The 27,761-nt window shown below is 41.6% G+C and overlaps 1 protein-coding gene across 43 annotated transcripts in view, besides 4 other annotated features; it reads right to left on the bottom strand.

Moving 5' to 3' along the window:
- Window positions 1–27,761, bottom strand: part of RIMKLB (ribosomal modification protein rimK like family member B) — a 114,454-nt gene that overhangs the window by 58,499 nt on the left and 28,194 nt on the right. For 14 of the 43 annotated variants that reach the window (NR_147947.2, XM_047429180.1, XM_024449086.2 and 11 more), the window contains exons 1-2: window positions 26,296–26,602; window positions 10,552–10,778 (exon numbers count right to left, since the gene is read on the bottom strand). Coding sequence is in view for 36 of the 43 variants with exons in the window: in XM_047429180.1 (XP_047285136.1) it covers window positions 10,552–10,726 (175 nt within the window). In the remaining 7 variants the exon portion in view is untranslated. Of the gene's footprint in view, window positions 1–10,551; window positions 10,783–23,978; window positions 24,809–26,295; window positions 26,603–27,260; window positions 27,289–27,761 lie in introns of those variants that run through there. The other 29 variants (NR_123740.2, NR_147945.2, XM_047429188.1 and 26 more) reach the window with 12 other exon arrangements.
- Window positions 25,807–26,773: an enhancer, noted in NCBI's record as "H3K27ac hESC enhancer chr12:8850416-8851382 (GRCh37/hg19 assembly coordinates)". NCBI's record gives its function as "activates a minimal SCP1, AML or CMV promoter by ChIP-STARR-seq in naive H9 embryonic stem cells {active_cell/tissue: H9 hESC(naive)}" and the evidence as "EXISTENCE:reporter gene assay evidence [ECO:0000049][PMID:30033119]".
- Window positions 25,807–26,797: a biological region, named in NCBI's record as "H3K27ac hESC enhancer GRCh37_chr12:8850416-8851382".
- Window positions 25,998–26,167: a silencer, noted in NCBI's record as "silent region_4217". NCBI's record gives its function as "represses an Ori minimal core promoter by ATAC-STARR-seq in GM12878 lymphoblastoid cells {active_cell/tissue: GM12878}" and the evidence as "EXISTENCE:reporter gene assay evidence [ECO:0000049][PMID:35858748]".
- Window positions 26,698–26,797: a silencer, noted in NCBI's record as "silent region_4216". NCBI's record gives its function as "represses an Ori minimal core promoter by ATAC-STARR-seq in GM12878 lymphoblastoid cells {active_cell/tissue: GM12878}" and the evidence as "EXISTENCE:reporter gene assay evidence [ECO:0000049][PMID:35858748]".

Raw genomic sequence — 27,761 nt, 5'->3', positions numbered from 1 at the left:
ACCACTCAGACACCACACCATACAGAAATCTCTGCATGAGCTGACTATTCAAAGGCTTTCTCTGCTAAAGCCACTGGACTGGAATAAGTGTGCACATCACCAATTACACAAACACGAACACTTGGCCTCAGGATCAGGAAACAAAAAAAATCAGAAAAAAGGACACCATCAAATAATAACATACTGCAAAAGTAAATGATCCTAAAGAAATGGAGATTTACAAAGTACCTGACAAAGAATTCAAAATAATTTTACAGATACAGATAAACAAGATCAGGAAGAAAAAAAATCAATGAATCAAATGAGATGTTCAACAAAGAGAATCATCTTTAAAAATCAAACGAATTTTACAGCTAGAGAAAACAAATGACAGAATTGAAAATCTTCCCTAGGGAGCGAACTTGAAAACTGACCATCCAAAATTACCAAGTCAGTGAAACAGAAACAAAAAAGAATGAAAACGACTGAAGAATGGCCAGGTGTGGTGGCTCACACCTTTACAAACCTAGCATTTTGGGGGCTGAGGTGGGCAGATTGCTTAAGCCCAGCCTGGGCAACTTGACAAAACCCCAACTCCATAAAAACAAAACAAAACAAAACAAAACAAAACTTAGCCAGGCATGGTGGCGCGTGCCTGTAGTCCCAGCTACTTGGCAGGCTGAGGTGGAAAGATTGCTTGAGCCCAGGAGGCAAGAGGTTGCAGTGAGCCAGGACTGCACCACTGTACTCCAGCAGCCTGAACGACAGAGAAAGACTCTGTCTCCAAAAAAAAAAAAAAAAAAAAAAAAGGGAACTGAAGAAAGCCTATGAGAATTACAGGCCAGTGTCAAGTGAACCATAATATGCATTATGGATATTCCGGAAGGAGTAGAGAAAGACAAAAGGACAACAGTTTATTTTTTTTTAAGTTCCCTAATCTAGAGAGAAATAAACATCTAGATTCATGAAGCCCAGCAAACTCCAAATAGATTAAATATACAAGCATGCCTCATTTTATTGTGCTTTAACTTATTGCCTTTTGCAGTTATTGTGTTTTTTACAAATGAAGATTTGTGGCGACCCTGTGTCAAGCAAGTCAATCAGTGTCATTTTTGCAACAGCAAGTGCTCACTTTGTGTCTTTGTGTCACATTTTGATAATTTTCACAGTATTTCAAACTTCCATTTTGATCATATCTGTTATAGTGATCTTTGATGTTACTATTATAAATGGGCGACACTAACTGCAACCACATAGAGGGCAAACTGAATAAATGTGTACATTCTCACTGCTCCACCAACTGGCTTCCCCATCTCTCTCCCTCTCCTTGGGCCTCCTTATTCCCTGTGACAACAATATTGAAATTAGGCCAGTTAATAACCCTACAGTGGCTCTAAGTGTTCAAGGGCAAAAAAGAGTCACACAATCTCTTACTTTAAATTGAAAGATTAAGCTTAGTGAAGAAGGTATTTTAAAAGGTGAGACAGGCCAGAAACTAGACCTCTTGTGCCAAAGTTAGACAAGTTGTATATGCAAAGGAAAAGTGCTTGAAGGAAATTAAAAGTGCTACTCCAGTGAACACATGAATGATAAGAAAGCAAAGCAGCCTTATTGGTGATATGGAGAAAGTTTTAGTGGTCTGGATAAAACATCCAACCAGCCACAACATTCCCTTAAGGCAAAGCCTTATCTAGAGTAAGACCCTAACTCTCCAATTCTTTGAAGGCTGACGGAGGTGAAGGAAAGTTTGAATCTAACAGAGTTTGGTTCATGGGATTTAGGAACAGAAGCCATCTGTATAGCACAGTGCAAAGTGCAAGGTAAAGCGGCAGCTGCTTATGTGAAAGCTTCAGCAAGTTATCCAGAAGATCTAGCTAAGATAATTGATGAAGGTGGCCGCACTATACAATGGATTTTCAATGTAGACAAAACAGCCTTTTGCTGGAAGAAGATGCCCTCTAGGACTTTGATAGCAGCTAAAGAGAAGTCCATAACTGGCTTTAAAGTTTCAAGGGAGAGGCTAATTCTTTTGTTAGGAGCGAAGGCAGCTGGTGACTGTAAGTTGAAACCAATGCTCATTTAGCATTCCAAAAATCCTAGGGTTCTTAAAAGTTATGCTAAATGGACTCTGCCTGTGCTAAGTGGAACAGCAAAACCTGAATGACAGCACATCTGCTTGCAGTATGGTTTACTAAATATCTTTAGCCCACTGTTGAGACCTACTACTCAGAAAAAAAATATTCCTTTCAAAATATTACTACTCACTGATGATGCACCTGGTCACCCAAGAGCTCTGATGAAGATGTATAAAAAGATTAACATTATTTTCATAGCTGCTAACACAACATGGACTCTGCAAGCCCATGGATCAAGAAGTAATTTTTTTTTTTTTTAGCTCTGTGAGACAGCTGACAAACAGGAGTAATTTCTACTTTCAAATCTTATAATTTAAGACATACATTTCATAAGGCTATAGCTGCCACAGTGATTCCTCTAAAAGATCTCGGCAAGTAAACTGAAAAAGTTCTGAAAGGCATTCATCATTCTAGATGCCATTAAGAACACTCATAGGCCAGGCGCGGTGGCTCACACCTGTAATCCCAGCACTTTGGGAGGCCGAGGTGGGTGGATCACCTGAGGTCAGGAGTTTGAGACCAACCTGGCCAACATGGCAAAACCCCATCTCTACTAAAAATACAAAAATTAGCCAGGCATAGTGGCACACACCTGTAGTCCCAGCTACTTGGGAGAGTGAGGCAGGAGAATCGCTTGAACCCAGGAGGCTGAGGTTGCAGTGAGCCAAGATCGTGCCACTGCACTCCAGCCTGGGTGCCAGAGTCAGACTCCATCTCAAAAAAAAACAAAAAACAAAAAACACTCATAATTCATGAGAGAAGGTCAAGATATCACCATTGATAGGAATGTGGAAGAAACTGATTCTCACCCTCATGGATGACTATGAGGGCTTCAAGACTTCAGTGAAGGAAATAACAGCAAATGTGGTGGAGATGGCAAGAGAGCTATAATTGAGAGTGTAGCCTGAGACGGGATTAAACTGCTGCAGTCTCATGAAGATTGCTGAACAGATGAGTTGCTTCTTACAGATGACCAAATGGTCATTCCAATGGAGATGGAATCTATTCCTGTGAAGAGGCTATGAACATTGTTGAAATGACGACAAAGATTTAGAATATTACATAAATTGAGTTGACAAAGCAGCAGCAGGGTTTAAGAGGACTGACTCCAATTTTGAAAGAAATTCGGTGGGTAAAATGTTGGAAAATAGCATCACATGCTACAGAGAAATCTTTAATGTCAATGGGGCAAATTTCATTGTTTTCGTATTTCAAGAAAATGCCACAGCCACCTTCAGCAACCACCACCCTGACTAGTCAGTAGCCATCAACCAAAAGTTTGTGTTACTCGCTTTATTGTGATATTTGCTTGACTGTGGTGGTCTGAAACCAAATCTGCAGTATCTCCAAGGTGTGCCTATAAAGAGATCTTCATCAAAACACATTACAATTAAACTCTCAAAAGGCAGACATTACCTATTAACAGTCTCCTTTTTAAACCATATCCTAGCACTTCTGGAAGAGTCACTGGTTAACATTTTTGTTTTTAAATAGTCTTTTAAAAATTACCTGGTTCCAGGGTATTAAATCTGTCCCAGTAGACTCTGAGGCAGCATAACATAATATTCAAAGGGGTCTCACTTTGTGTCTAGCTACAAGGCCATAGGCAAGCTTCTTAATCTCTTATTTAAAACGGGTAGGCCAGGCGCGGTGGCTCATGCCTGTAATCCCAGCACTTTGGGAAGCCGAGGGGGGCGGATCATTCAAGGTCAGGAGTTCCAGACCAGCCTGGCCAACAAGGTGAAACCCCATCTCTACCAAAAATGCAAAAATTAGCTGAGCGTGGTGGCAGGCACCTATAATCCCAGCTACTCGGGAGGCTGAGGCAGGAGAATCGCTTGAACCCGAGACAGAGGTTGCAGTGAGCGAGATCGCGCCACTGCACTCCGGCCTGGGCGACAAGAGCCAAACTCCGTGTCGCACACACACACACGAGGGATAATGATACTTTACCCTCAAAGGGAATTAAAATGCATCCTCAGCTGCTTAGTATAGTTTATAGTCTTTAATTCTACTAGACTCCTGAGCTCCATGTGAACAGAGACCCTTTATTTACTATTATACACTGGAAAGTATCTGGCACATAAAAGTTTCTCAAATATTAGTTGACCACTAAGCGTCAAAAGATTGAACTCAAAAGTATGAATCCAACTTTGTACCTTTTAATTAGGTCTTTTACCCATCAAAAGAAACTAAGAAAAAGAATGTTACTGATGATATGACTTCTCATATTCTCCTAATGAATGTGTTTTAATATGGATTTTGTGGTGTCAAAATATATGTCCTCAATGTCTTAATGTTCTATATTCTACTCACAACTGAAAAATGTCTTCATTACTGGCTCAAATCCGGACTCTATCCTGGCACTGAAAGTTCCATCATCTAGCTATACCAAACTTATCACCAAGTCTCAGTACCAATCTTGCTTTGAATGAAGGCTTCATTCTTTACCATCCTTGGTGCACACCTACACTCACTCCCAAGTAACCCAAATATGAAAACAGCTCATGATCTATCTCTACTCACAACCAGGCCCTACCTTGAGGCCAGACTCCTTGTCAGTCTCCTTTATCAGAACAAGAACCTCAGGAGTTGACAATTTTGTCTTTTCCATCCTTGTATCCACAACCTTGTACATTGTCCTTTATGAAACAGGCATTTCATGAATGCAATTTTGTATTTTTACTTGGTTTTCTATATATCTTTTTGCTGTTAAGCATCTAAGCACTTGTAATAGTTATTTTGAATCTCCCACATTACTAAGTAGATCCTCAATAATTATTAAATTGGAAGACAAAAAACCCAGCTTAGGCTGGGCACTGTGACTCATGCCTGTAATCCTAGCACCTTGGTAGGCCGAGGCGGGCGGATCACCGGAGGTCAGGAGTTCGAGTCCAGCCTGGCCAACATGGTGAAACCCCGTCTCTACTAAAAATACAAAAATCAGCTGGGCGTAATGGTGGGCGCCTGTAATCTCAGCTACTTGGGAGGCTGAGGCAGGAGAATCGCTTGAATCTGGGAGGTGGAGGTTGCAGTGAGCCGAGATCGCACCATTGCAGTCTAGCCTGGGCGACAAGAGCGAAACTCCATCTCAAAAACAAAACAAAACAAAACAAAAAAACCCAGCTTAATTTATAATCCCAGGGCTTAGAATTAGAAGCAAGGTGTCTTTTAGCAGTTGAATAAATAAACTACAGTATATGAAGGCAATGAAATATAATTATACAATAGAAGAAATGAGCTCTCAAGCCAGGAAAAGACGTGGAAAAACCTTAAATTCATATTACTATGTGAAAGATCCTAATACGAAAACACTACATACTGCACAGTGCCAACTATAACATTCTAGAAAAGGCAAAACTGTGGAGACAGTCAGAGGGTCAGTGGTTGTCAAGAGATGGGTGAGAGGGAGGGAAGGAGGAGGATGAACAGGAGGGAGAAAGAGAAAGGAATGAACAGCCAGAGCACAGGATTTTTAGTGCAGGGAAACTATTCTGTATGATACCACAGTGGTGGATACATGTAATTATGCATTTGCCCAAAGCCACAGACTATAGAACACCCAAGAGTAAGCAGTAATGTAAACTATGGACTTTGCATGATGATGTGTCATGTCAGTTCATCAAGTTCAACAAACATGTCCTTCTGGTAAGGGATGTTCAAAATGGGGCAAAGATATCCATGTATGTGGGCAGAGGATACATAGGAGATCCCTGTACTTTCTGCCTAATTTTGCTGTAAACCTAAAATTACTCTAAAAATGATTATACACACACACACACACACACACACACACACACACACACACATATATATATATATATAGAGAGAGAGAGAGAGACGGAGTCTCGCTTTGTTGTCAGACTAGAGTGTAATGGTGCTATCTCAGCTCACTGCAACCTCCACCTCCGGGGTTCAATCGATTCTCCTGACTCAGCCTCCTGAGTAGCTGGGACTACAGGCGCATGCCACCAGGCCCAGCTAATTTTTGTATTTTTAGTAGAGACGGGTTTCACCATGTTGGCCAGGATGGCCTCGATCTCCTGACCTCGCGATCTGCCGGCCTCGGATTCCCAAAGTGCTGGGATTACAGGCATGAGCCACTGTGCCCAGCCGCAGTTATATTTTTAAAAAGAGGTCGACAAACCTTCACCCCAAAGAACAAGCATAAAACTGGAAATATTTTTGTCAATTCTATTTCAGAGCTCTGGTAATTAATCAAAGACAGACAAATTAAGACACATTTAAAACAACAACAACAAAAACCTGCTAGAACACTGGGTATCAACAATGGAAATCTATGGTCTTTTTTACCTAGATCTGATTCCATTTCCATAGAGGAAATGGAATAGCTGGCACAGTAGTTTGACTACAGTGGGATAGTTGTGAAAAATCAGCACACTTGCTACCGGGAGATGGTTTTAATTTGAGGCACAGAGGCTGAAAATCCAAGGCCACACTGTCAGTAAAAGAGATGAACAAGGAAAATACAATTCTGCTAGCCCAAGGACAGTGCTACAACAGGCAACAGCACAGTACATTATTCGTTATTTTAAAATAGGCGTATATTGGGGTGAATGTTTCAAAAGTTTTTAACCGATGAAGATACTCAACAACAACAAAAAAAACTTGGAGGATTAGGCAATAAAAACATAAAGGGGATTTGGGAAAGGCAAATATAACTAGAGCCATAATTCCGAGAGATTAATTTGACTACAGTACGTTAGAAGATGAGTTTAAAGTGGAAACAAATTTAGAGGTTACTGTAATAGTTCAGGCAACTTTGATTTCATTAGCAGTAGTAAGAACAGACATTATGTCAGATATACTATGAACAAAACAGACAAGCCTTTTACATTATATCTGGAAGTAAGGGAGAATGAAGAAGAAAGTTGACTCCATGATTTCTTCAAGCTTAGGCTAGGAATAGGACACCATTAATAGAAAAGACTAATATTGGAGCTAGAACAGATTTGTAAGAGAAGTTCAAGAGAGCAGTTTTACATACACTGACACAAAGGGAGAGGCAATGAGGGAAAAAAAAAAGGAAAAGGAAAAGAACTTCTATGCCTTCTACTCATTTACAACTATACCCTCTCTTTAACCTGACTGTGAAAACATTGCACAGATAATGTGTAAATGACGTGTAACATTTTTTAAACGGCTTTGAGATATAATTCACATATTGTAAAATTCATCCATTTAAAGTACAGAACTGTGGTTTTTAGTATTTTCACTGTATTATGCAAAATAGCCACAATTTTAGAACATTTCCCTTATCCCAATTTGTTTAAGTTTCTCCACTTAATTCTGTGAAAGAGGCTGTTTCCTCATCTGCATAATGGTAATATCACCTCCCTTATAAGATATGAGAGTTAAATAATACATAAAAAATGTAAAAAAAAAAAGAAAAAAAAAAAAGAAAAACCCTCCTAGAAATGCCTGAATATATAGGAGACACATCAACAAAAAGTCTGAAAAATTTTTAAATTAGATTTAACACTACAGGGGAAAAGTAAGCTTCTGAAGATTTTTAAAACAATATTAAGATGATAAAAGTTGTGTTTAATGAAGATGTGAAAATGCTAGAGAGGAAAACACAATTTTGAAAAAGAAAGAGCTACTGAGGTGGGAAGATCGCTTGAGCCTGGGAAGTTGAGGCTGCAGTGAGCTAAGATCGCACCACTGTACTCCAGCCAAGGTGACAGAGCGAGACCCCGTCTCAAAGTAAAAAAAAAAAAAAAAAAAAAAAAGAAGGAAAAGAAAGAAAAAGCTAGAGGGCTAACTAAAGTCATTAAAATTTGAAGCCATGGGAAGCCCCACTCAGGTGCCCCTCTCTCTCACAGGAGAGCTGATCTCCTTTCTCTTTCTTTTACTATTAATTAAAACTTCACTCTTAGTCTAAAAAAAAAAAAAAAAAATGAAGCCATGATAGCCTGAGCCAGGATAGTGAGAAGATAGAACAGTTATGGCTTAGAAGGAAAAAGCAACAAAAATTTTGTAGCATACTGGCTCTTGTGAATTAAAAAAAAAAAAAAAAAAAAAAAGACATGTTAATGGTAAGGCTAGGTTAATGGGAGAAAGGTGATATTACAAACAGAGACAGAGAAGCTGAAATAACAAGACAGCTTTGATGGAAAAAAGCAAGTTCCACTGTGATAGAATGGCACAGAAATGCCACTTGAGAATAAAGTGAAAATGTTCACTAGGTAACTGGGAAAAATATCAAGAGCAATGGTTTTCAACCCTAGATCCTTTTCAACCTACACACTTTTAAAAAATAGAGATGCCCATTTCTACCTCCCAAATTTTGTGTTATTACTTAGTAGCCACTAGATTTCATAAGGAACTATGGCTGTAACCTTTGGTTTTCCAACCACCAGAAGCCTTGTAGGAGTAGTGTTGAGTGAACTAACGTTTTACACTGGCATGTCTCTTCTCATGCAGACTTCAAGAACATGGCTCCCAATACACTAAGTGTCTGAGTTTCTGACTCCAATTTCAATAATAACTGTACATACACACTTACACTGAAAAAGCTGTGTAAGTTGAACAAGCATGTCACAAATATTGAGTTTTAGAGATTTACCTTGATTTGATCAAGGATCTTCGTCACAAATGTGAGAGGGGTTCAAAGTGACATTCACATTTTTCATTCATAACTTACCAGTTATAACTTTACATTTATTTGTGTGATTGACTAATGTTGACCTCATCCTTTAGAATATATGAGGACTTTATTTTATTTCGTATACCATACCACTATCCAGCACATAGTAAATGCTCAAATAATACTTAATGAAAAAATGAAGTAGACTCTTATCCCAGATTTCCTGAATCTAAATAACTAGGTATTGGACCCAGGCAGTATATACTGAAAAGAGAATTACACTGAAAATAAAATAGTGAGCATCATCCTGATAAAGGCAGTAACTACATTCAAGAGAACAAGAGTAGGTGGGCATGGTGCCTCATGCCTGTAATCTCAGCACTTTTGGAAGCCGAGGTGGGTGGATCACTTGAGTTCAGAGTTGGAGACCAGCCTGGCCAACATGGTGAAACCCGTCTCTACTAAAAATACAAAAATTAGTCGGGCGTGGTGGTGCACATCTGCAATCCCAGCTACTCAGGAGGCTGAGGCACAAGAATTTACTTGAACCTGGGAGGCAGAGGTTGCAGTGAGCTGAGATAGTGCCACTGCACTCCAGCCTGGTGACAAAGACCCTGTCTCCAAAAAAAAAAAAAAAAAAGAACAAGAGCACTTATCCATTTAAGCAAAACAACAAAGAAACATTTCTGGCAACAATAACTGATCAAAAGTACTGTGGATGAAATAAATAAATGTTACAAGAGGATTGAAAATAAAAGTGATGCTTGCTAAGAGATTATACTTAGTGTGATACTCAACCTATGGTAACATTTTTAATTTAGACAAGATTCTGGATCTGTTAGCCTGTGAATGAAATTATCCTACCATGGCAGATAAAGGTAAGATTTTATTGTACTTTGCATAGCCTTAATTCTCACAAAAACTGTCTTTCTCCATTTCATTGATGAGGAAATTAAATCATGGGGCTTAGTATAATTCTAGTCACAAAGGAAGAAAGTGATCTAAAATGTATTTATACTATCATTAAATTATGAAGTATTTTCTGAAAGCCAGTCAAAAAGTCCATTTATATGACACCATATAATGCTCCCTGACAGAAACTACCAATTTAGCTATAGTAAGCCATAAAACTTTCAAAAGCAAAAATTTAGTTTTCTGAAAATTAATACTAAAGAATTTCTATACTTTTCTAGGATATCTTCCCCTACAATCCCAAAACAAATATGAAATATTAAAAATACTAGAAAAATTTATCACCAATTGAGTTAAATCATTAAGACACTTTCACCTATAAAACCGTATTAGTTTATATTACATGTATAGTGTTTTATAAAAAGGAATCACATGGATCTAATTTATTAATCAAGTACTAATCAAAGAACCTCCAAAGATACAAATTTCCTTAGCAGCACCTTATAAACAAGGTATTTTAAAAATAGAAGACAGTAAAAATGAAAGGAACTTGAGAATCATCTTTACTTTTATTTTTAAGAAACTGTGTCTTACAATGTTGCCCAGGCTGGACTCGAACTTGTGGGTTCAAGTGATCCTCCCACCTTAGCCTCTGGAACTACAGATATGCGCCTACTTTGTTTTATTGTTTATCTGTTTTGAAGGTCACCTTTAATTTCCCTCACAACTGTTTCCTAATAAAGTTAATAAATATTAGTGTTTATATTACTTTCATAAAATATATTAGACCTTATAATTAGAAGATACTTAGTAATGACAAGGCTAAGAATTCCTCTGTCCTAATTATTCCTAAAACATGCAGATTCATCATATTCTAGGTAAAAATCCAAAAGATCACTTAGTATACAGACTTACCCAGGTTTCCTTGCTCGATTGTCAGCACCACCTCATCCATCACCACAGCCCTAAAGTCCAGTTCCTCCTCACAACATTTGGCCTTCAATGCTCGTAAAATCTCTTTTTGAGGATAGTCTTCCCTGATGCGACGATCTGTCAAAAACCACAACTTGGCAGCCACAGAACTACACATCTTGATCAGCTTGTGCTTCCTTGCCTGGATTATTTCCTCTTGGATGTAACGTCTACCTAGATGGAAGAAAAAATATACATAAAAGGTAAATCAAGAAATCTACTTGATTTCTGGATTTCATACAAATAAATGCCGTGATTATATACTAATTATATAAACAGGAAAAAACACGTGTAGAGATATTGTTTCCTTTTCATTCAAACTAAAATTTTTATACACTAGTAATATGGAAACTGACCACCTCTTCAGAAATATGATTTCTCCATTTTTCCTTGGGGAAACTGGCACTGCAACTTAATAACTGTAGCTCGTCACTTAGCAGAAAGTTTAAATACCCTTCCCAATATTATATATTGTCTAGGAATATACTTTAATCTGATCACTGACTTTTTGTTTTATCTCCTCCCTCAACATTCTGTTCTTGATATGAAATGAAATGCCAATCAATATATTTCCATCTTTCCCATCACTAGAAACCCCGCTTAAGTATATTTTTGTATCTGTGGTTAATTTTACATTCAATTTTCTTCCCTGGTTTTGTTATAGGTATGTAGAAAAAAAAAATAGGTAGTAGCACTTATCTTACTAGGTAAGCTTCAATGATGAAGTCATTTACACAGTAGCTTTAGTGAAAATAAATAATTGGAGAATGAGCAAAAGGGCTCTCAATAACCAAAATAAATGTCCAGGTCTATTCACTAAATTTCATTTATTCCAGTCAGAGGACAGCACGCTCTTACTCAATGTTTTTATTCTTCCTATAAATAGAATTTTTAAAAATAAATGCAGCTTGTTTACTAAAATGCAAAAAAGGACTTTTTTTCCAGATGGTGTTGCTTCTCTGAGTTTGTATCATGAACAATGCAACATTAAAAAATCACCTTCCTGAGAAGCAAAAAAGTTACAAGTTTCAGAACAAGCAACAAAACGATTTTTTTTAATGTTTACCAAAAAAACAAAATGTCAAGTATCATTCAAGTATTATTCCAGATAACATGGCACATCTAACACAAAAGGAAAGGTCCTGGGCAAAAACTACAGGAAGGAAAGGCTGTACAGACCAGCAGCTTCCTGAATAGTGGCAGCTGGACATGGTCCACCCTCCCAGGTACCAGCAAGAAGGGCCTGCTCCACAGTGCACACGGTTTGAAACCAGAGCATTGCTGGGCAGAGGCCCCATCAGAGCCAACAGCACACATTCCCAAGCACCTTGAAATGCCATGTCTGCCACACTTGACCACCTACCTCTCTCTTGACCCACCTACTACCCCACAATCCACTGCCTCAAAGGCCTAAGTCTCTGTTAAACAAGCAGGGTATCTAAACTGGATTATGGTAGTAACTCAGCTTACACACATGCTAGGAAGGAACTATGCTAACTTAATGTCGGATGCTCTAGGGTTAGCAGTTCTGAATATTTAATAACTTTTTATTTTTATTTATTTATTTATTTTGAGATAGAGTTTCACTCTTGTCACCCAGGCTGGAGGGCAATGGTGTGATCTAGGCTTGCTGGAACCTCCGCTTCCCGGGTTCAAGTGATTATCCTGCCTCAGCCTCCCAAGTAGCATGTGCCACCATACCTAGCTAATTTCTTCCAGAAGGCGGAAAGGTTGCAGTGAGCCGAGATCACGCTATTGCACTCCAGCCTGGGCAACAAGAGAGAAATTCCGTCTCACGCGCACAAAAAAGAAGATAAGGACCAGGCTCATTAAAATGAAAAATATATAAACACTATGGCTTCCCTACAGCAGGATATTCCATGCATATTACAGGCAGTAAACCTTATCCTCCCTCCTCCTTAAACAGAGTGTTTCTGATAAACTTTTTCTCCTATGAAACTTTTCTTGAAAAGAGATTTCCATTTTAACCACAGTATGGGAAAGGTACAGTGCAAACCTGCACTGTCAATTCAACCTGATGGAACGACTTTTTTTATGGGTTGCATTTCGGTCTCTTCCCTGCGGACAATCATAGGGAAGGCCACAGTGTGTCCCTGACCAGACGCTGTACCCAAAGACATACTATGCTCATTAGAAAAAAGTTATAGCCACACAGTGCCTTCCAGGCCACTTGGGAAGGTCTCAGAAAGCAAAGCTCCACAAAAGAAAAAGTCACGCCAGAATACCTGACGTAGAATATCCCCAGCTCCCCTTGATGAAGGAATTGTAAAAATGCCCTTAAAATGTTTGGGGGAGGGGGGAGGGATAGCATTGGGAGATATACCTAATGCTAGATGATGAGTTAGTGGGTGCAGCGCACCAGCATGTCACATGTATACATATGTAACTAACCTGCACATTGTGCACATGTACCCTAAAACTTATAATAATAAAAAAAAAAAGTTTGTAATCAGTAGTGATTAAAAGACTCTGTCACTGACTTCCAACACTCTGAAGCTATGTCCGTGCCTTGGCCTGACACTCGGCTCTTGAAACTCATCCGTTTGCAGATGATTTTTTTTTTCTTTCTGAGACATGGTTTCAGTCACCCAGGCTGGAGTGCAGTGGTGCAATCATAGCCCATTGCAGCCTCAAACTCCTCGGCCTAAGTGATCCACCTGTCTCCTCTGCCTCCCAAGTAGCTGAGATGACAGGAGCAAATCACATCAGGCTAATTTTTTTTTTTTCCTTGAGATGGAGTCTTGCTCTGCCACCCAGGCTGGAGTGCAGTGGCGCAACCTTGGCTCACTGCAACTTCTGTCTCCTGGGTTCAAGCAATTCTCCTGCCTCAGCCTCCTGAGTAGCTGGGATTACAGATGCCCACCACCATGCCCAGCTAATTTTCGTACTTTTCTCTTTTTAGTAGATATGGGGTTTTGCCATGTTGCCCAAAATGATGGAATTATAGGCGTGAGCCAACAGGCCCGGTCTCTAATTTTTTTTTTTTTTTTTTTTTTTTGGTAAAGATGTGGTCTCACTACGTTGCCCAGACTGATCTCAAACTCCTGGCCTCAACCAATCCTCCCACTTTGGCCTCCCAAAGTGCTGGGGTTATGGCTGTGAGCCACCATGCCTTGCCAATCAATGATTAATTTCATTGCACAGTGGGTCTTCACCTGAGTGTGGCAGTTGCTGCCCCAATAGCAGTCAGGATGGAATGTTATAGTCACTAGCAATTGGGAAGCAGAAATGTTCCGCTGCTGATACATCAGTAGTCAGAAATTACATGGGCTACAACAGTGTTCCCGATGATTCTGAAATCAGAAAATAATATTCCCCTCTGAAGAGCCACAAAGCCTTCAGTCAACATGTTTTTCTAGGCCAGGCATGATGGCTCCTGCCTGTAATCCCAGAACTTTGGAAGGCCAAGGTGGGCGGATCACTTGGTCAGGAGTTTGAGACCAGCCTGGCCAATATGGCAAAACCCTGTCTTTACTAAAAATACAAAAATGAGCCAGGTGTGGCAGTACATGCCTGTAATCCCAGCTACTCGGGAGGCTGAGGCAGGATAATCGCTTGAACCCAGGAGGCGGAGGTTGTAGTGAGTGGAGATCGTGCCACTGCTCTCCAGCCTGGGTGACAGAGCGAAACTCCATCAAAAAAAAAAAAAAAAAAAAGAAGGAAACAAACAAACAAACAAACAAAACTGGCGGGGAGCGGTAGTTCATTTTGGGAGGCTGAGGTGGGCAGATCACTTGAGGTCAGGAGTTCAAGACCAGCCTGGCTGACATGATTAAGACTCCATCTCTACTAAAAATACAAAAAAAAAAAATAGCCGGGTGTGTTGGTGCATGCTTGTAAACCCAGCTACTCAGGTGGCGGAGGCAGGAGAATCACTTGAATCTGGGAAGTCGAAACTGCAGTGACCCCAGATGATGCCACTGGACTCCAGCCTGGAAAACAGCAAGACTCCATCTCAAAACAAAACAAAACAAAAACCACATTTTTCTACATTAAATCTCTGATTACCAGGTACAGTAGTCCCTCCATATCCACAAGGGATAATTCCAAGACCCCCAGTGGATGCCTGAAACTGCAGATAGTACATATACTATGTTTTTTCCTAAACATACATATCTATGATAATTTGCATATTAGGCACAGTAAGATGTTAGCAATAAAATAGAACAATTATAACAATATACTATGATAAAAGTTATATGAATGCGGTGTCTCTCCCACTCTCAAAATATCCTGTTGTACTGTGTCAGGGCGTAACTGAAACCACAGAAAGTGAAACCAGGGAAAGTGAAACCTGTCCAGTGGTACACTGCCATTCCCACAGGAGGACATGCGGCTAGCCTTCCTCGGTGCCCAAGCGATGGGGCCTCCCCAAGGGCTGCTGCAGCAACAGCTGCTTGCCTTCTTAGGGGTGCTCCAACTGGATTCACATCTGAGATGCCAGAAGTGTTGGGTGAAGACTTCAATCCCAAAGGTAGAGGCTCCAGGCGTGCCTGCCTGCTTCTGCCCCTCAATGGTTCTCTCCTAGCCTTGGGCACAGCTGTTTCCTCTTAACAGAATTTCAAAACATCTACTTTTCTATTTTTCCCATCTGCTAACATAAAGAAAAAAGAAAAACAGGAAAAAACAGAAATGCTGACAAGTCAAAAGGATTCCAGTAAATCTAAATAGTACAGGAGCTCAAAAGTGCACCAATAAAATGACAGTCCTGCTAATGATCCAGAATCTTAAAATTCAGACAATATTCACTATTTTAAAAGACAGTAGAGTCCTCTATAAAATAAAATGGCAAACTTTTTTCCTAGTAGTTTAAAGGAGTAAACTTGGTTACCCAATAAGATAACTGTAAGAAAATATTCTCCAGTAGCGAAACATAAACGCAGCAATTGCAAATGTCCACATATAGTATAGATGAGTACCGTATAGTATTTCCTCTCTTAGAATGTAAGCTCAGGTCAACCAATCCCATCCTCTCTTTATTTCCTCCAGTGCATCAAGAAAAACAATGTATAAATATCAGATGCTGAATAAATACTACTGACAAAAGTACCTTTTTTGAAATAAAGAGAAATTCTACAAAGAGAGTTTATTTTTGAGAGTTTTCCCACACAAACTTCTGGATCAGCATACCAATAAAAAACAGCACTGCATCTTGGAATACTCAGGCAAAACTGAGTATATGGGAATCTTAAAGTGCTTCATTCATCTTCTGAAATAGGAAATAAGCAGACATTTGTTTCACTGCTTAAGATTTCCTAAATTTTTTCTAAGGTAATAGTTTAGAAAGTACCACTTTGTTTCTCCCAACTTTTAGTTCCCTTATTAGACCAACCCGAGGAATAATTTTTCTACTTTAAAAGTTTTTCAAGTCAACATCCTGGGATCTAAAACTTAGTGTTGTTTCTTACTGGATCAAATTTCCTTAATAAACAAAGGAAAAGTTCAATGTTTAGAGTCAAAATCTCAAAATACATTACAAATATTTAAAGCTTCCAAAAGGATGTGTCAACCTATTCTGTACAGAGGACAAATGAGAGCATAAAAGATTTCTATTACATCACAGAATAAAAGAAAAAAAGTTAAAATGAAAGTCATTTCTCTCCCTCTCATCTTTCTTGTGAGGACCCTTCCCAAAGGTATTTATTCTAGTACAGAAAAAGCAAAAAATCACAATCTACCATCTGAAGATATTAAGGTACCTCTTACTAAGAAAATCCATTAACATATGAGCTCAAAATCCCAAATACTGAAGAAAAATAAAGCTAAAGGAAAAAAATACACTAATATAAAATAGAATATGTATAAAACTCTAACACACAATAGAATCTGTATAGAACTCTACTGTAACACATAATGGAATCTGTATAGAACTCTATTGTAACACACAGTGGAATCTGTATAGAACTCTACTGTAACACACAGTGGAATCTGTATAGAATTCTATTGTAACATACGATAGAATTTTAATAGCATTTATTCCATTTGTCAGTTAATACAGGCTTGCTTCGGGAAAGACTGTACATAGGATAAAAAATAATAATACTAAAGACTTGTTTTCAACACTATCCCCTCTTGGATAGGAATCACGGGAGTTGAATCAGGTTTGTGGAGAAAAATAACAAATTTGTGTCTCTTAAAAGTGTGATATTACAAAATATATACTTGGTCTTCAACCCTGTTTCCTGGCATACAACTCCTAAAATCATAAGAATCTCCAAAATGATGTCTTTCTGTATGCTAATAATTGACTGATGGCTGGCAGCCCCTAGGCAGCTTTAGTATGGAGGCTGGTCACCAGAAAGACCAAGGCATGATTAGAGGGTTGGAACCTTCCGTCTCATCCCCTAACCTCTGGAGACGGGAGACGGGCTAACAGTCAAGTTGATCACCAGTGGCCAGTGGTTTAATCAATCATGCCTGTGTAACGAAGTCTCCAAAAAACCCAAAAGGATTGGGCTCAAAATGCTTCCAGATAGCTGAACACGTAGCAGATCCTGGAGGGTGACGCACCCAGGAAGGGCAAAGAAGCTCCGTGCCCCTTTTCCATACTTTGCCCTAGGCACCTTTTCATCTGTATCCTTTATAACATACACGTAAACATGTTTCCCTGAGTTATGTAAACTGCTCTAGCAAATTAATCAAACCCAAAGACAGGGTTGGTGGGAACTCCAACTTAAAGCCAGTCAGCCTTCTGGCTGAAGTCCAGAGGCCTGTACTGGTGGGGGGCATGGTACGGGGTCGTTTTGGCAACTGAGCACTTAACCTGTGGGAGACAGTGTCAGAAATTAGAGGACACCTAGCTGGTGTCCGTTGCAGAAATGACTGTTGGTGAGGAGAAATCTCCATCAGTGGATCTTCTGTGTTGATTGGTGTTGCTGAAAGAACAGGAAAAAGCACATTGAATGTTGTTTTTCCACGCTCTCTCATTAAATTTTAGGTATGCTATCAAGCCTCTTTTTCTGTGACTTTCCTCCTGACATCTCTCCTTCTGCATATGATCCCCCGAGTTTCATTCTTAAACTCTGCTTTCCACTTTCTAGAAATGTCATCCGAATCCAGGTTTCAACTTTATTCCTTCTGAACCACTGACCCACTAGATATTTCTTTCTCAACTAAATTTCAGAATCCATTTCAATGAGCCTACTGGGCATCCCTAACTAAATGCCACCCACTGTTGCCTCAGTTAAGCATGTTTTTTAAAACAAAAAAAGGACAGGCATGGTGGTTCATGCCGGTAATCCCAGCACTTTGGAGGGCTGAGGTGGGCGGGATCACCTGAGGTCAGGAGTTTGAGACTAGCCTGGCCAAAATGGTGAAACCCTGTCTCTATTAAAAATACAAAAAAATTAGCCGGACGCAGGGGTGCACACCTATGGTCCCAGCTACTCAGGAGGCTGAGCCAGGAGAATCGCTTGAACCCAGGAGGCAGAGGTTGCAGTGAACCAAGATTGTGCCATTGCACTCCAGCCTGGGTGACAAGAGCGAAACTCAGTCTCAGGAAAAAAAAAAAAAAAAAAAAGTCCAGGCGTGGTGGCTCACACCTGTAATTCCAGCACTTTGGGAGGCCGAGGCAGGTGGATCACCTCACCTGAGGTCAGGAGTTCAAGACCAGCCTGGCCAACCTGGTGAAACCCCATCTCTACTAAAAATACAAAAATTAGCTAGGCATGGTGGTGGGCACCTGTAATCCCAGCTACTTGGGAGCCTGAGGAAGAGGAGTCACTTGAACCCAGAAGGCGGAGGTTGCAGTGAGCTGAGATCGCACCATTGCACTCCAGCCTGGGTGACAAGGGCAAAACTCCGCCTCAAAAACAAAAAACAAAACAAAGAATGTATTTTTATTCACAGAAATGTTTCAGCACCTATATTCCCCATTGTGATCATTAAATTTTACATCAACCTGGTGAGGCAATGGTTCCAAGCTATTTGGGCAAACAATAGTCTATACATTGCTGAAGGTATTTTCTATACGTGATTAACATCTAATCAGTTGACCTTAAGTAAAGGAAATTACCCTCCATAATGTGGAGGGGCTTCATCCAATCAGTTGAAGGTCTTGCTAAAAAGTAAAAACTGAGGAGGAACTCTTCCTCAAGACTCAGGACTTATAGACAGACTCACAGAAATGCTACCTGAGTTGCCAGTCTGCTGGTCTCCCCAAAAATTTCAGACCCAAGACTGCAACATCAAGTCCTGTCTGAGTTTACAGACTGCTGCTTACTCTACAGATTTTGAACTTAGCAACTCCGCAATCATAAGCTAAATGCTTAAAATACGTATACAATTAAAAATACATATATAAACATATCTTATTGAGTCTATTTCCCTGGAGAACCCTGACTGATATACCTATCCTTATTAAGGCACTCGATTCAGACAACTGGGCATCAATTTTTATTTCCATCCTTCTTTCACTGTTTACAAAAAGCTAATTCTAACTTCTAAATATTAATATCACCGGCATTTTACTTTTTTTTTTTTTTTTTTGAGATGGAGTCTCAATCTGTCACCCAGGCTGGAGTACAGTGACGTGATCTTGGCTCACTGCAACCTCTGCCTCCCGGGTTCAAGCGATTCTCTTGCCTCAGCCTCCTGAGTAGCTGGGACTACAGGCGTGTGCCACCACACCCGGCTAATTTTTGTATTTTTAGTAGAGATGGAGTTTCGCCATGTTGGCCAGGCTGGTCTCGAACTCCTGACTTCAAGTGATCCTCCTGCCTTGGCCTCCCAAAGTGCTAGGATTACAGGTATGAGCCACCATGCCTGGCCCACTTTACTCTTATCTCCAGTATATTCAACACTTGGACTACTATAAAAGCCTCCAAATAAATCTTCTGCCCTCTGTCACTTCCAATTTTCTAAACACATTATATTCGTCCATGCTTCCTGTTGCTTGGAATATATACCCCAAACACTTACCTATTTAGTAAAGTCTGAGCTCAAATGGTTTTAGTTTGGGGTTTTGTGTGTGTGTGTGTGTGTGTGTGTGTGTTTTAGAGGTGAGGTCTTGCTCTGCACCAAGCCTGCAGTGACGCAACTGCAGCCTTCAATCTTGGGCTCAAATAATCCTCCCACCTCAGCCTCCCAAGTAGGTGGGATGACAGGTATGTACCACCACACCCAGCTAATTTTTTCCTCTTCTTTTAGAGGCAGGTTCTCACTATGTTGCCCAGGCTGGTCTCAAACTCCTGGCCTCAAGCAAAATTCTCCTGCCTCAGTCTCCCGGATAGCTGGGATTACAGGCATGAGCCATGGCTCAAGTGTTAATGCATTAGTTAAATAACACATCCTCCGGAAGAATGACTTTAGGAGTCAGGGAACACTTAACAGACGTGCTAACATTTGCACCCAAGCCATTATCATAGCATATAATTAAGGTTTACTTTTAAAAACTAGGGTCTGCCAGTGCTATAAGATGAATTCTTAAAGTCTATGTTTAAACAATTCTATTTGTTACAAAGACAATTTCTCTTTCTACAGGTTAAGTCATGATTGAAAACATGTTCAACAAATAAGCATGTTTAAGTGATCTGAGTTTATAAAATGCCATTTTCCTTACCAAATCAATTTTTTTTTTTTTTGAGACAGGGTCTCACTCTGTCACCCAGGTTGGAGTGCAATGGTGTGATCTTGGCTCACTGCAACCTCCGCCTCCTGGGTTCAAGTGATTCTCCCACCTCAGCCTCCTGAATAGCTGGGACCACAAGCACACACCGCCACACCCGGCTAATTTTTGTATTTTTTGGTAGAGACAGGGTTTCATCACGTTGCTCAGGCTGGTCTCAAACTCCTGACCCCAAATGATCCGCCTGCCTCAGCCTCCCAGTGTTGGGATTACAGGCGTGAGCCACCACGTCCGACCCATAAAACACTTTCTACATATATTTTGGCACTTAATCTGTATATAATAATGTGAGGAACACAGGCTTCTATTATTCCAATTTAAAGAAAGACCAGCCCAAGATATCACAATAGTAGACCCAAGACTGGAATTAAGATTTTCTATTTCTCTATGCTTTTTTTCTACAAAGAAATCAGAACCATCAAAGCTAATTTGGATAAAGAAAATAAATTCACATACTGAGTAATTATATGTACCAAACACAATATGAGATGGTTTATTTTTATCATTTAATCCTCACAACCATCCCTCTGCAGTGTGCTATGGTCTTCATTTGGCAGTGACGCTGTTCTAGCAGAAAGGTTAGATAACTTGTTTAAAGTCACAATTAGAAAGTGGTAGGGGCCAGGCACAGTGATTCACACCTGTAATCCTAGTACTTTGGGAGTCTGAAGCAAAAGGATTGCTTGAGGCCAGGAGTTTGAGACCAGCCTGGACAACACAGTGGGACCTCATCTCTACAAAAAAATCAACACTTTAGGAGGCTGAAGTAGGAGGACAGGAGTTCAAGACTAGCCTGGGCAACATAGTGGGGTCTCATCTCTACAAAAAGTGAAAGAAAAAAAAATTAGCCGGGTATGTTGGCACAGGCCTATGGTGTCAGCCACTAAAGAGGCTGAGGCAGGGGGTTCGCTTGAGCCTAGAAGTTCAAGGCTACAGTGAGCTATGATCACATACTACTGTACTTCAGCCTGGGTGACAAAGCAAAACCCTGCCTTAAAAAAGTTCTTCTGGAATCCAAACAACATTTCTCTTTTTCTTTTCTTTTTCTTTTTTTTGAGAGGGAGTCTCACTCTGCTGCCCAGGCTGGAGTGCAGTGGTGCGATCTTGGCTCCCTGCAACCTGCCTCCTGGGTTCAAGCAATTCTCCTGCCTCAGCCTCCCGAGTAGCTGAAATTACAGGCACGTGCCACTACACCCAGCTAATTTTTGTATTTTTAGTAGACATGGGTTTTCGCCATGTTGGCCAGGCTGGTCTCAAACTCCTGGCCTTAGGTGATCCACCCATCTTGGCCCCACAAAGTGTTGGGATTACAGGTGTGAGCCACCATGCCCAGCCTCCAAACATTTCTAATGATTTCACTTAATAGAAGAAACTTACATCAAATTATTTCTGGAACATGGCACAGAAGACAGTTCCTAGGTTTAATGCACAGTACAAAGTCCCCAAGTTTCATATTTAACATGATAAATGTCTGGCCTTCTGTCTAAATTTTCTTCCCAGATATTACTTTGAAAAAGGAGTTAGAAAGCTATTCATTTACTCTCAAGCCCAAGGCTTTACAGATATGGCTAACTAAATCACATGTCAAAGGAATAAACTAACAACTGAGAACTCCAAAGCCTCAGGGAAGAATTCCAAGGTTGCTATTTGGGCAACCCTGCCTGACTTTTCAAAATGCAGTTTTCTGATAAAGTATGAAAAATTCAAATACTCCTCAAAATTGGAAAGCACAGTAGTAAGAAATGGTCTGATCTTATACAGCAATTCTATATTCCACTTTAGAGACCTTATTTCTAAATTTATAGGAACGTGAAGCCAAAAGCTAGTATCAGAAGGAAAAAAAAGAAATGTAAGAAGCTGAATACAGAATAAAAGCATTTAAGAAAGGAACAAGTTTGAATCTGTTTTGTCACAACTTGATATAGACACTTTTGAAATAAAAGGTAGTAAAATTAATCAGGCATGTAAATGTTTAAACAGATTTTTGTTTTGCCAGCTCATCAATTCACAAATTAGTACGCATTTCCTAAGAATCCAGTAGACTCCTTCAGACACTGCTCGGATAACTGATAGACAGATAAAAAATACAGAGATTACCAAAATTAGTCTGTAAACTCCATGAAGAAAGAACCGACAACCATTTTATTCCCTGATGTTATCCCCAGTGGGAAATGCATAACCTGACATGTAACACTGACAAGTTATGGAACAGAACATATTTTAATAATCTGCTATATCAAATTGTAAGAGAGTATCAAAAAATCATAGCTATTTTAATATTAAATACCAGGCAAATGGGTGTCCCCATAAGATCTATTTTTTTTTTTTTTATTGAGATGGAGTCTTGCTCTTTGACCCAGACTTGAGTGCAGTGGTACAGTCTAAGCTCACTGCAACCTCTGCCTCCAGGGTTAATGCAATTCTCCTGCCTCAGCCCCCCCGAGTAGCTGAGATTACAGACGCACACCACCACACCTGGCTAATTTTTGTATTTTTAGTAGAGATGGGGTTTTGCCATTTTGGCCAGGCTGGTCTCAAACTCCTGACCTCAAGTGATCCGCCTGCCTCAGCCTCCCAAAGTGCTGGGATTACAGGTGTGAGCCACCGCACCTGGCCCCTGTAAAATCTAAATGTAGCTATCCAAAATTCCTAATTAATGTTTTCGGGTTCTCTTAAAAAAAAAAAAAAAAAGAGATCAGGCCTGTGCTTACTTCCCATAACGGTCATATAACTGATCCAGAAATGATTAGCTTTGTTAACAAAGTTAGAAAAAAAACAAAAACATAATTTCAGAAAGAAGAAAAAAGATATAAACAGATGGGTTCCATGCAGACCAGCCTCTAGGGGAGTAGAGCTGGCTAGCTCTGTGGCTTTTGTCCTCCAAGCCAATTTTGAGAGGGGAAAAAAAAAACACTGAAAAAGAAAACATTAAAAATAACACCATGGCATTAGTTACCATGAAGCCAGAAAGTCAGTACTTTTCTACAAACCTAACATGTACACAGATACATATGGCATATAAATCTAAAATGTATTACGTAGATACTTTTGGAGGTACTATCTTATTTAACAATCCCTCATATGACAAGCAGAAAATTCCGAGACAATTAAGAGACAATTTCCAACATCTGTACGTAATCTCCCTACTCAACCTCTTGAAACAACTGCACATATCAGCACAGCTAACATTTAAAAATAATACTTTTTTCACTATCGCAGTCTCCTCCTCCCTCAGATTCTAATAACGTATTACAGTTTCTTTTTTCTTTTTTTTTGAGACAGTCTTGCTCTGTTGCCCAAGCTGGAGTGCAGTGATAAAATTTCGGCTCACCGCAACCTCCACCTCCCAGGTTCAAGCGATTCTTGTGCCTCAGCCTCCTGAGTAGCTGTGACTACAGGTGTGCGTCACCATGCCCAGCTACTTTTTATATTTTTCACAGAGACAGGGTTTCGCCATGTTGGCCAGGCTGGTTTCAAACTCCTGACCTCAAGTGATCAGCTTGCCTCATCCTCCCAAAGTGCTGGGATTACAGGTGTGAGCCACTGCGCCAGGCCACATAATTACAATTTCTAGAGGCTCTTTTCTCATTTGCTTGTGACTTAATCCCACTTGCAGAATACTCTTTGTAAACTAATCTGCCATAAAACAAAGTCTTTCTATGAATGTATATCACTGAAGCGCCCCCAAAACAGTTGTCAGCAAGCAACATACAATAAAACTCACCCTCCTTACTTTATGTTTGGTTCTCTCTCTTCACATGTTGTTCGTGGGTATAGAAGTTCTTCCTCCACCCATTTTCACTCAGTTTATGTCTCTATGCCTGCTCCCCAGAGGAAGATGATAAAAGCTACTCCTGCTTCCCAAAGTGTGGAACAACTGGCTCTGCTCTGTCCCCTTTCCCCATCCCCTACTAGTGTTCATGGTTGGTCAGTCTTTCAGCTCATAGAGAGGGGAGCTTTGAGAAATAAATCTAGTGACTTACCCCAGCAGCAAATCCTAGGTGGATACAAATTGTGAAAAGGGTAATTGGGAGATATTTTAAAAGAGATGTTTCTCCATGTGCCACAACAAACCAATGCCTGAAGCTGGGTTCGTGTTCACTGGTCAAATAATGTCCACTTTAGTGTGTTTCTTCACAGTATGACTGAGAAGGGGTGGAAGATTTAGAAGAGTTTACTGGTAATTTCCCTCTGGAGAGGAAAAGGGGCCTGAATGACAAGGGAAAAAAGAAGGGGCTAATTTATTGTCACTCTCCCTGCTACTCCTAGATACTACTACTGACAAAAGTATATTAAACAGGGATTCTAAGAAAACATGGGCAAAATAAGAAAGCTATCCACTAGAAACTAAGATAAGTAGAATTTTAGCTGGTAGCCAACCGGCTAAAGATTAAACGCTCAGTTCCTTACCCCCTGCGGGGGGGCAAGGCAGGAAGAGAAAAGTGGCTCTTGACCGAGTGGAGGATTGTCTGTGACTGAATTTGCTGTTCCCCTTCTTGGCTCTGTTCTCAGAATCACAGACTGCCCCCCTCCCTGACAAGCAGACTCCAGCACCTGGTAGGGGTAAGAGAAGACAAGAGAGAAAAAAGGGAGACAGAGAAAGATAAAAAACATCAACAGCCATGTTGCCAAACTAACAACTAAATCAATGACATGAAAGAAGGAAATTAACAGCACTAACCAAGATAGAAAAGAATAAAATAGGATTACCTCAAGACAAAATAGGCCTCCTCCCCTTTGACACACTAACCAAATAAAACAGTAACCATTGGAAAAGAAATTTAACTATGATTATTTTTAAAATTAGAGGGTTGCATACTAAAATTTAGGAAATAAATGTTAAATCTCTGAGACCGGAATTTCAGAGAGTGTTTTATTCCAAATGAATATCTTAAAAGTATTCTCATAATTGCTTTTAAGAAATCATTTTTTAAAATAGAAGAAATGACCTTTAAGGTACCCAATATTGTGAAAGTAACAAAAATGAGATTTAAAAACATTTCAATTTAAATGGTTATAGTTAATAATTAAGAACACCCATAAATATAATGAACATACCAAGCCCACAAAAAAAAATCTGCATAGTAGGCTGCCCATATACTTTCTATACCTATTTAGAGTTGAACCTAACTCCACAAAGATGTGGTAACAATATATATAACTAATGGGAAAATGACAGCATACTGAAAGAATTTACATAGCAGTTGCATTGAGCATGGTTAGTGCAATAACCCCTCACAGAACAGAATTACCACCCCATCGCTATTCGCCAATACAAATGGGATAAAACAGTGAAATAACAAATGTGTGATCAGAGATAAGGACATATTAATAAGGGGAGATTGAAATTATTACCACTCTGGTTTGGGTTTTTTTTGGGGGGGGGTGAGGGGCAAGTAGTGTAATATTTACATCATGCTCAAATTTTTAAAGAATCAAAACTGGACAAGCAATTATTTGGTCATCCCCTTCTCATTCAGAGACTGTCAAAGGAAAAGATGGAATGACTGTCACACTCTCTAAAATTTACACGTAAGGAGGAAAACGTGGAATCGAATACAGTAGCTGCGGGACCGCACCACGTGATCCTCCTCCCGCGGTCGCTCCATAGAATTTGTGGGAAGGGGGGGGAGGGGGAGTGTCGCCGCAATCCCGAGGACAGGTCAGCAGCCCGCGGGTCCGACTCCAGCCGGCGTTCCCGGGGTTACCACACCCCCTCGCCGGCGGGGAAACCATACTCCTTACACGCCCGAAGTCGCCGCCCCCTCGACACGGCTCGCCCGGTCGCACGCACACGCCACGGGCCGGCGCCTCCCGGCACACGCGCGAAGGCCGGGCCCCGCCTCGCTCCCCACCGACTCCGCGGAGCGGCGACCACCGGCCTCAACTAGCCCCGGACCCCGGGCGCGCTCGGGCCGGTCCCCTCCCCGGCCCAGCCCCCGCTAATCGGGGGATCCATTCCGCTGAACTCGCCCACTCGGGAGGGCGCGCCTTCGCCTCACTGCTCTACACCCGAGGGCAACAGCGGTCGTACCGCTCACCTGGGTCGGGGGGCTCCTCCCTCGCTCTCGGCCGACTGAGCCGGGCTGGGGCCTTCGAGGAAGCGCGGGCCGCCGGGCGGCTGGAAGTGGGGGAAGGAGAGGAGGGGGAGGGGGTCGGGATACCGGGAGCCGCCTCCTTTCTCCTCCGCCGACTGCGGCTCCCGCAGGCTGGCCGGGCGTCCTCGCACACTCGCCCAGTTTCTCACAGCCTCGCGTCCCGTCAGCTTCTCCCTCACCCCACTCCCACACACTCTCACTCCCACACACTCACACCCGGCCGCTCCTCGTTCCCTCACTCGCCTGCCGCGCGCGCGCGCGACCCCGCTCACACACAGCGCGCGCGACGCCGGCGGAGACCGCCCCGCTCCCTCAGACCGAACGCCGCCCGCCCGCTTGCTGAGGAGCGGCGCGCGCCCCGGCCCCGCCCTCCTGGCGCCGCGGCGCGGCGGGCGGGGGGCGGCGGCCGGAGGAGCTGGGGGCCGGGCCAGCGCGCCGAGCACTGCCGAGCGGATCTGACACCTGCGTCGAGAGCCGCCCTCCCAGCTCCTCGCCCGCACCCGAGCCATCGCTGGCCTCGGGGGAAGAGAGGCGATGGATCGCGCGCGGGGAGCGAAAAGGGAGCGCGAGGGCGCTCCGAGGACGCGCCTCCCCACCCGCCCCCAAACCGTCTTCACTGAGAAAGGGAAACGGATGGGGGGGGTGGGGGGCGAGGTTTGCTCCCAACTCGAAACCGCGAGATTAGTCCCTTCCGTTGTACGCCCTCCCCGCCCTCACATTCCCTGCTTAGGCCCCATCAATCTGCGCCTGGAACCCCGACACGAGCCCCCTACCCCCTCGGGCGCAGGGTCCTGCCGGCATCCCGACGCCTCCCGCCCAGCCCTTCCGCCGGCCGCCGCCCGGAGTCTCCGCTTACGGTGGTTCCTCCCTCCGGTAGGCAAAGATATGGAGACAAAGATCATTCATACCTAGAAGGTCTTTATCCGGGACTGGAGTAAAGACAGTACCTCTGTATATTGAGAGGCAAATTTAAAACCACATGATAAATTTCCTGGCTGAAGCGGGTTTGGAGATACAGGCGGGGTGGATAGCGCCAGCTCTGCCCCCTAGAAACCGGCGTAAACCTTGGACAAGTTAGTTGCTACGCTTCCTCTGAGCCTTTGTTGTGAAAAGATAAAAGAGTACAGTCCGGAGTCGTTGTGAGAATGAAATGAGATATTTTAAGAGCATTTTGTAAATTCTAAAACTATGTATAAAAAATAAAAGTATAGCCCAAAGGAGGCTAAGAATATGAATGTTCAACTACGCTATTACATTTTCTTAAGGAGAAAAAAAAAGGGCTACAGACGACCTCCCAGGTTTACATGGAAGATTCACTTCCAAATAACTTCAGTCACCAGAGACACCAGGTGTGAGGTACGGTAATGTGCTCACCAGTTTGCCTTCTTGCTGGTCTCAGCCCTGTCTCA

This window comes from Homo sapiens, chromosome 12 (assembly GCF_000001405.40).
Source record: "Homo sapiens chromosome 12, GRCh38.p14 Primary Assembly".
Lineage (NCBI taxonomy): Eukaryota > Metazoa > Chordata > Mammalia > Primates > Hominidae > Homo > Homo sapiens.
The sequence above is the reverse complement of the archived record's forward strand: the minus strand, read 5'-3'. Positions and strand labels throughout refer to the sequence as shown.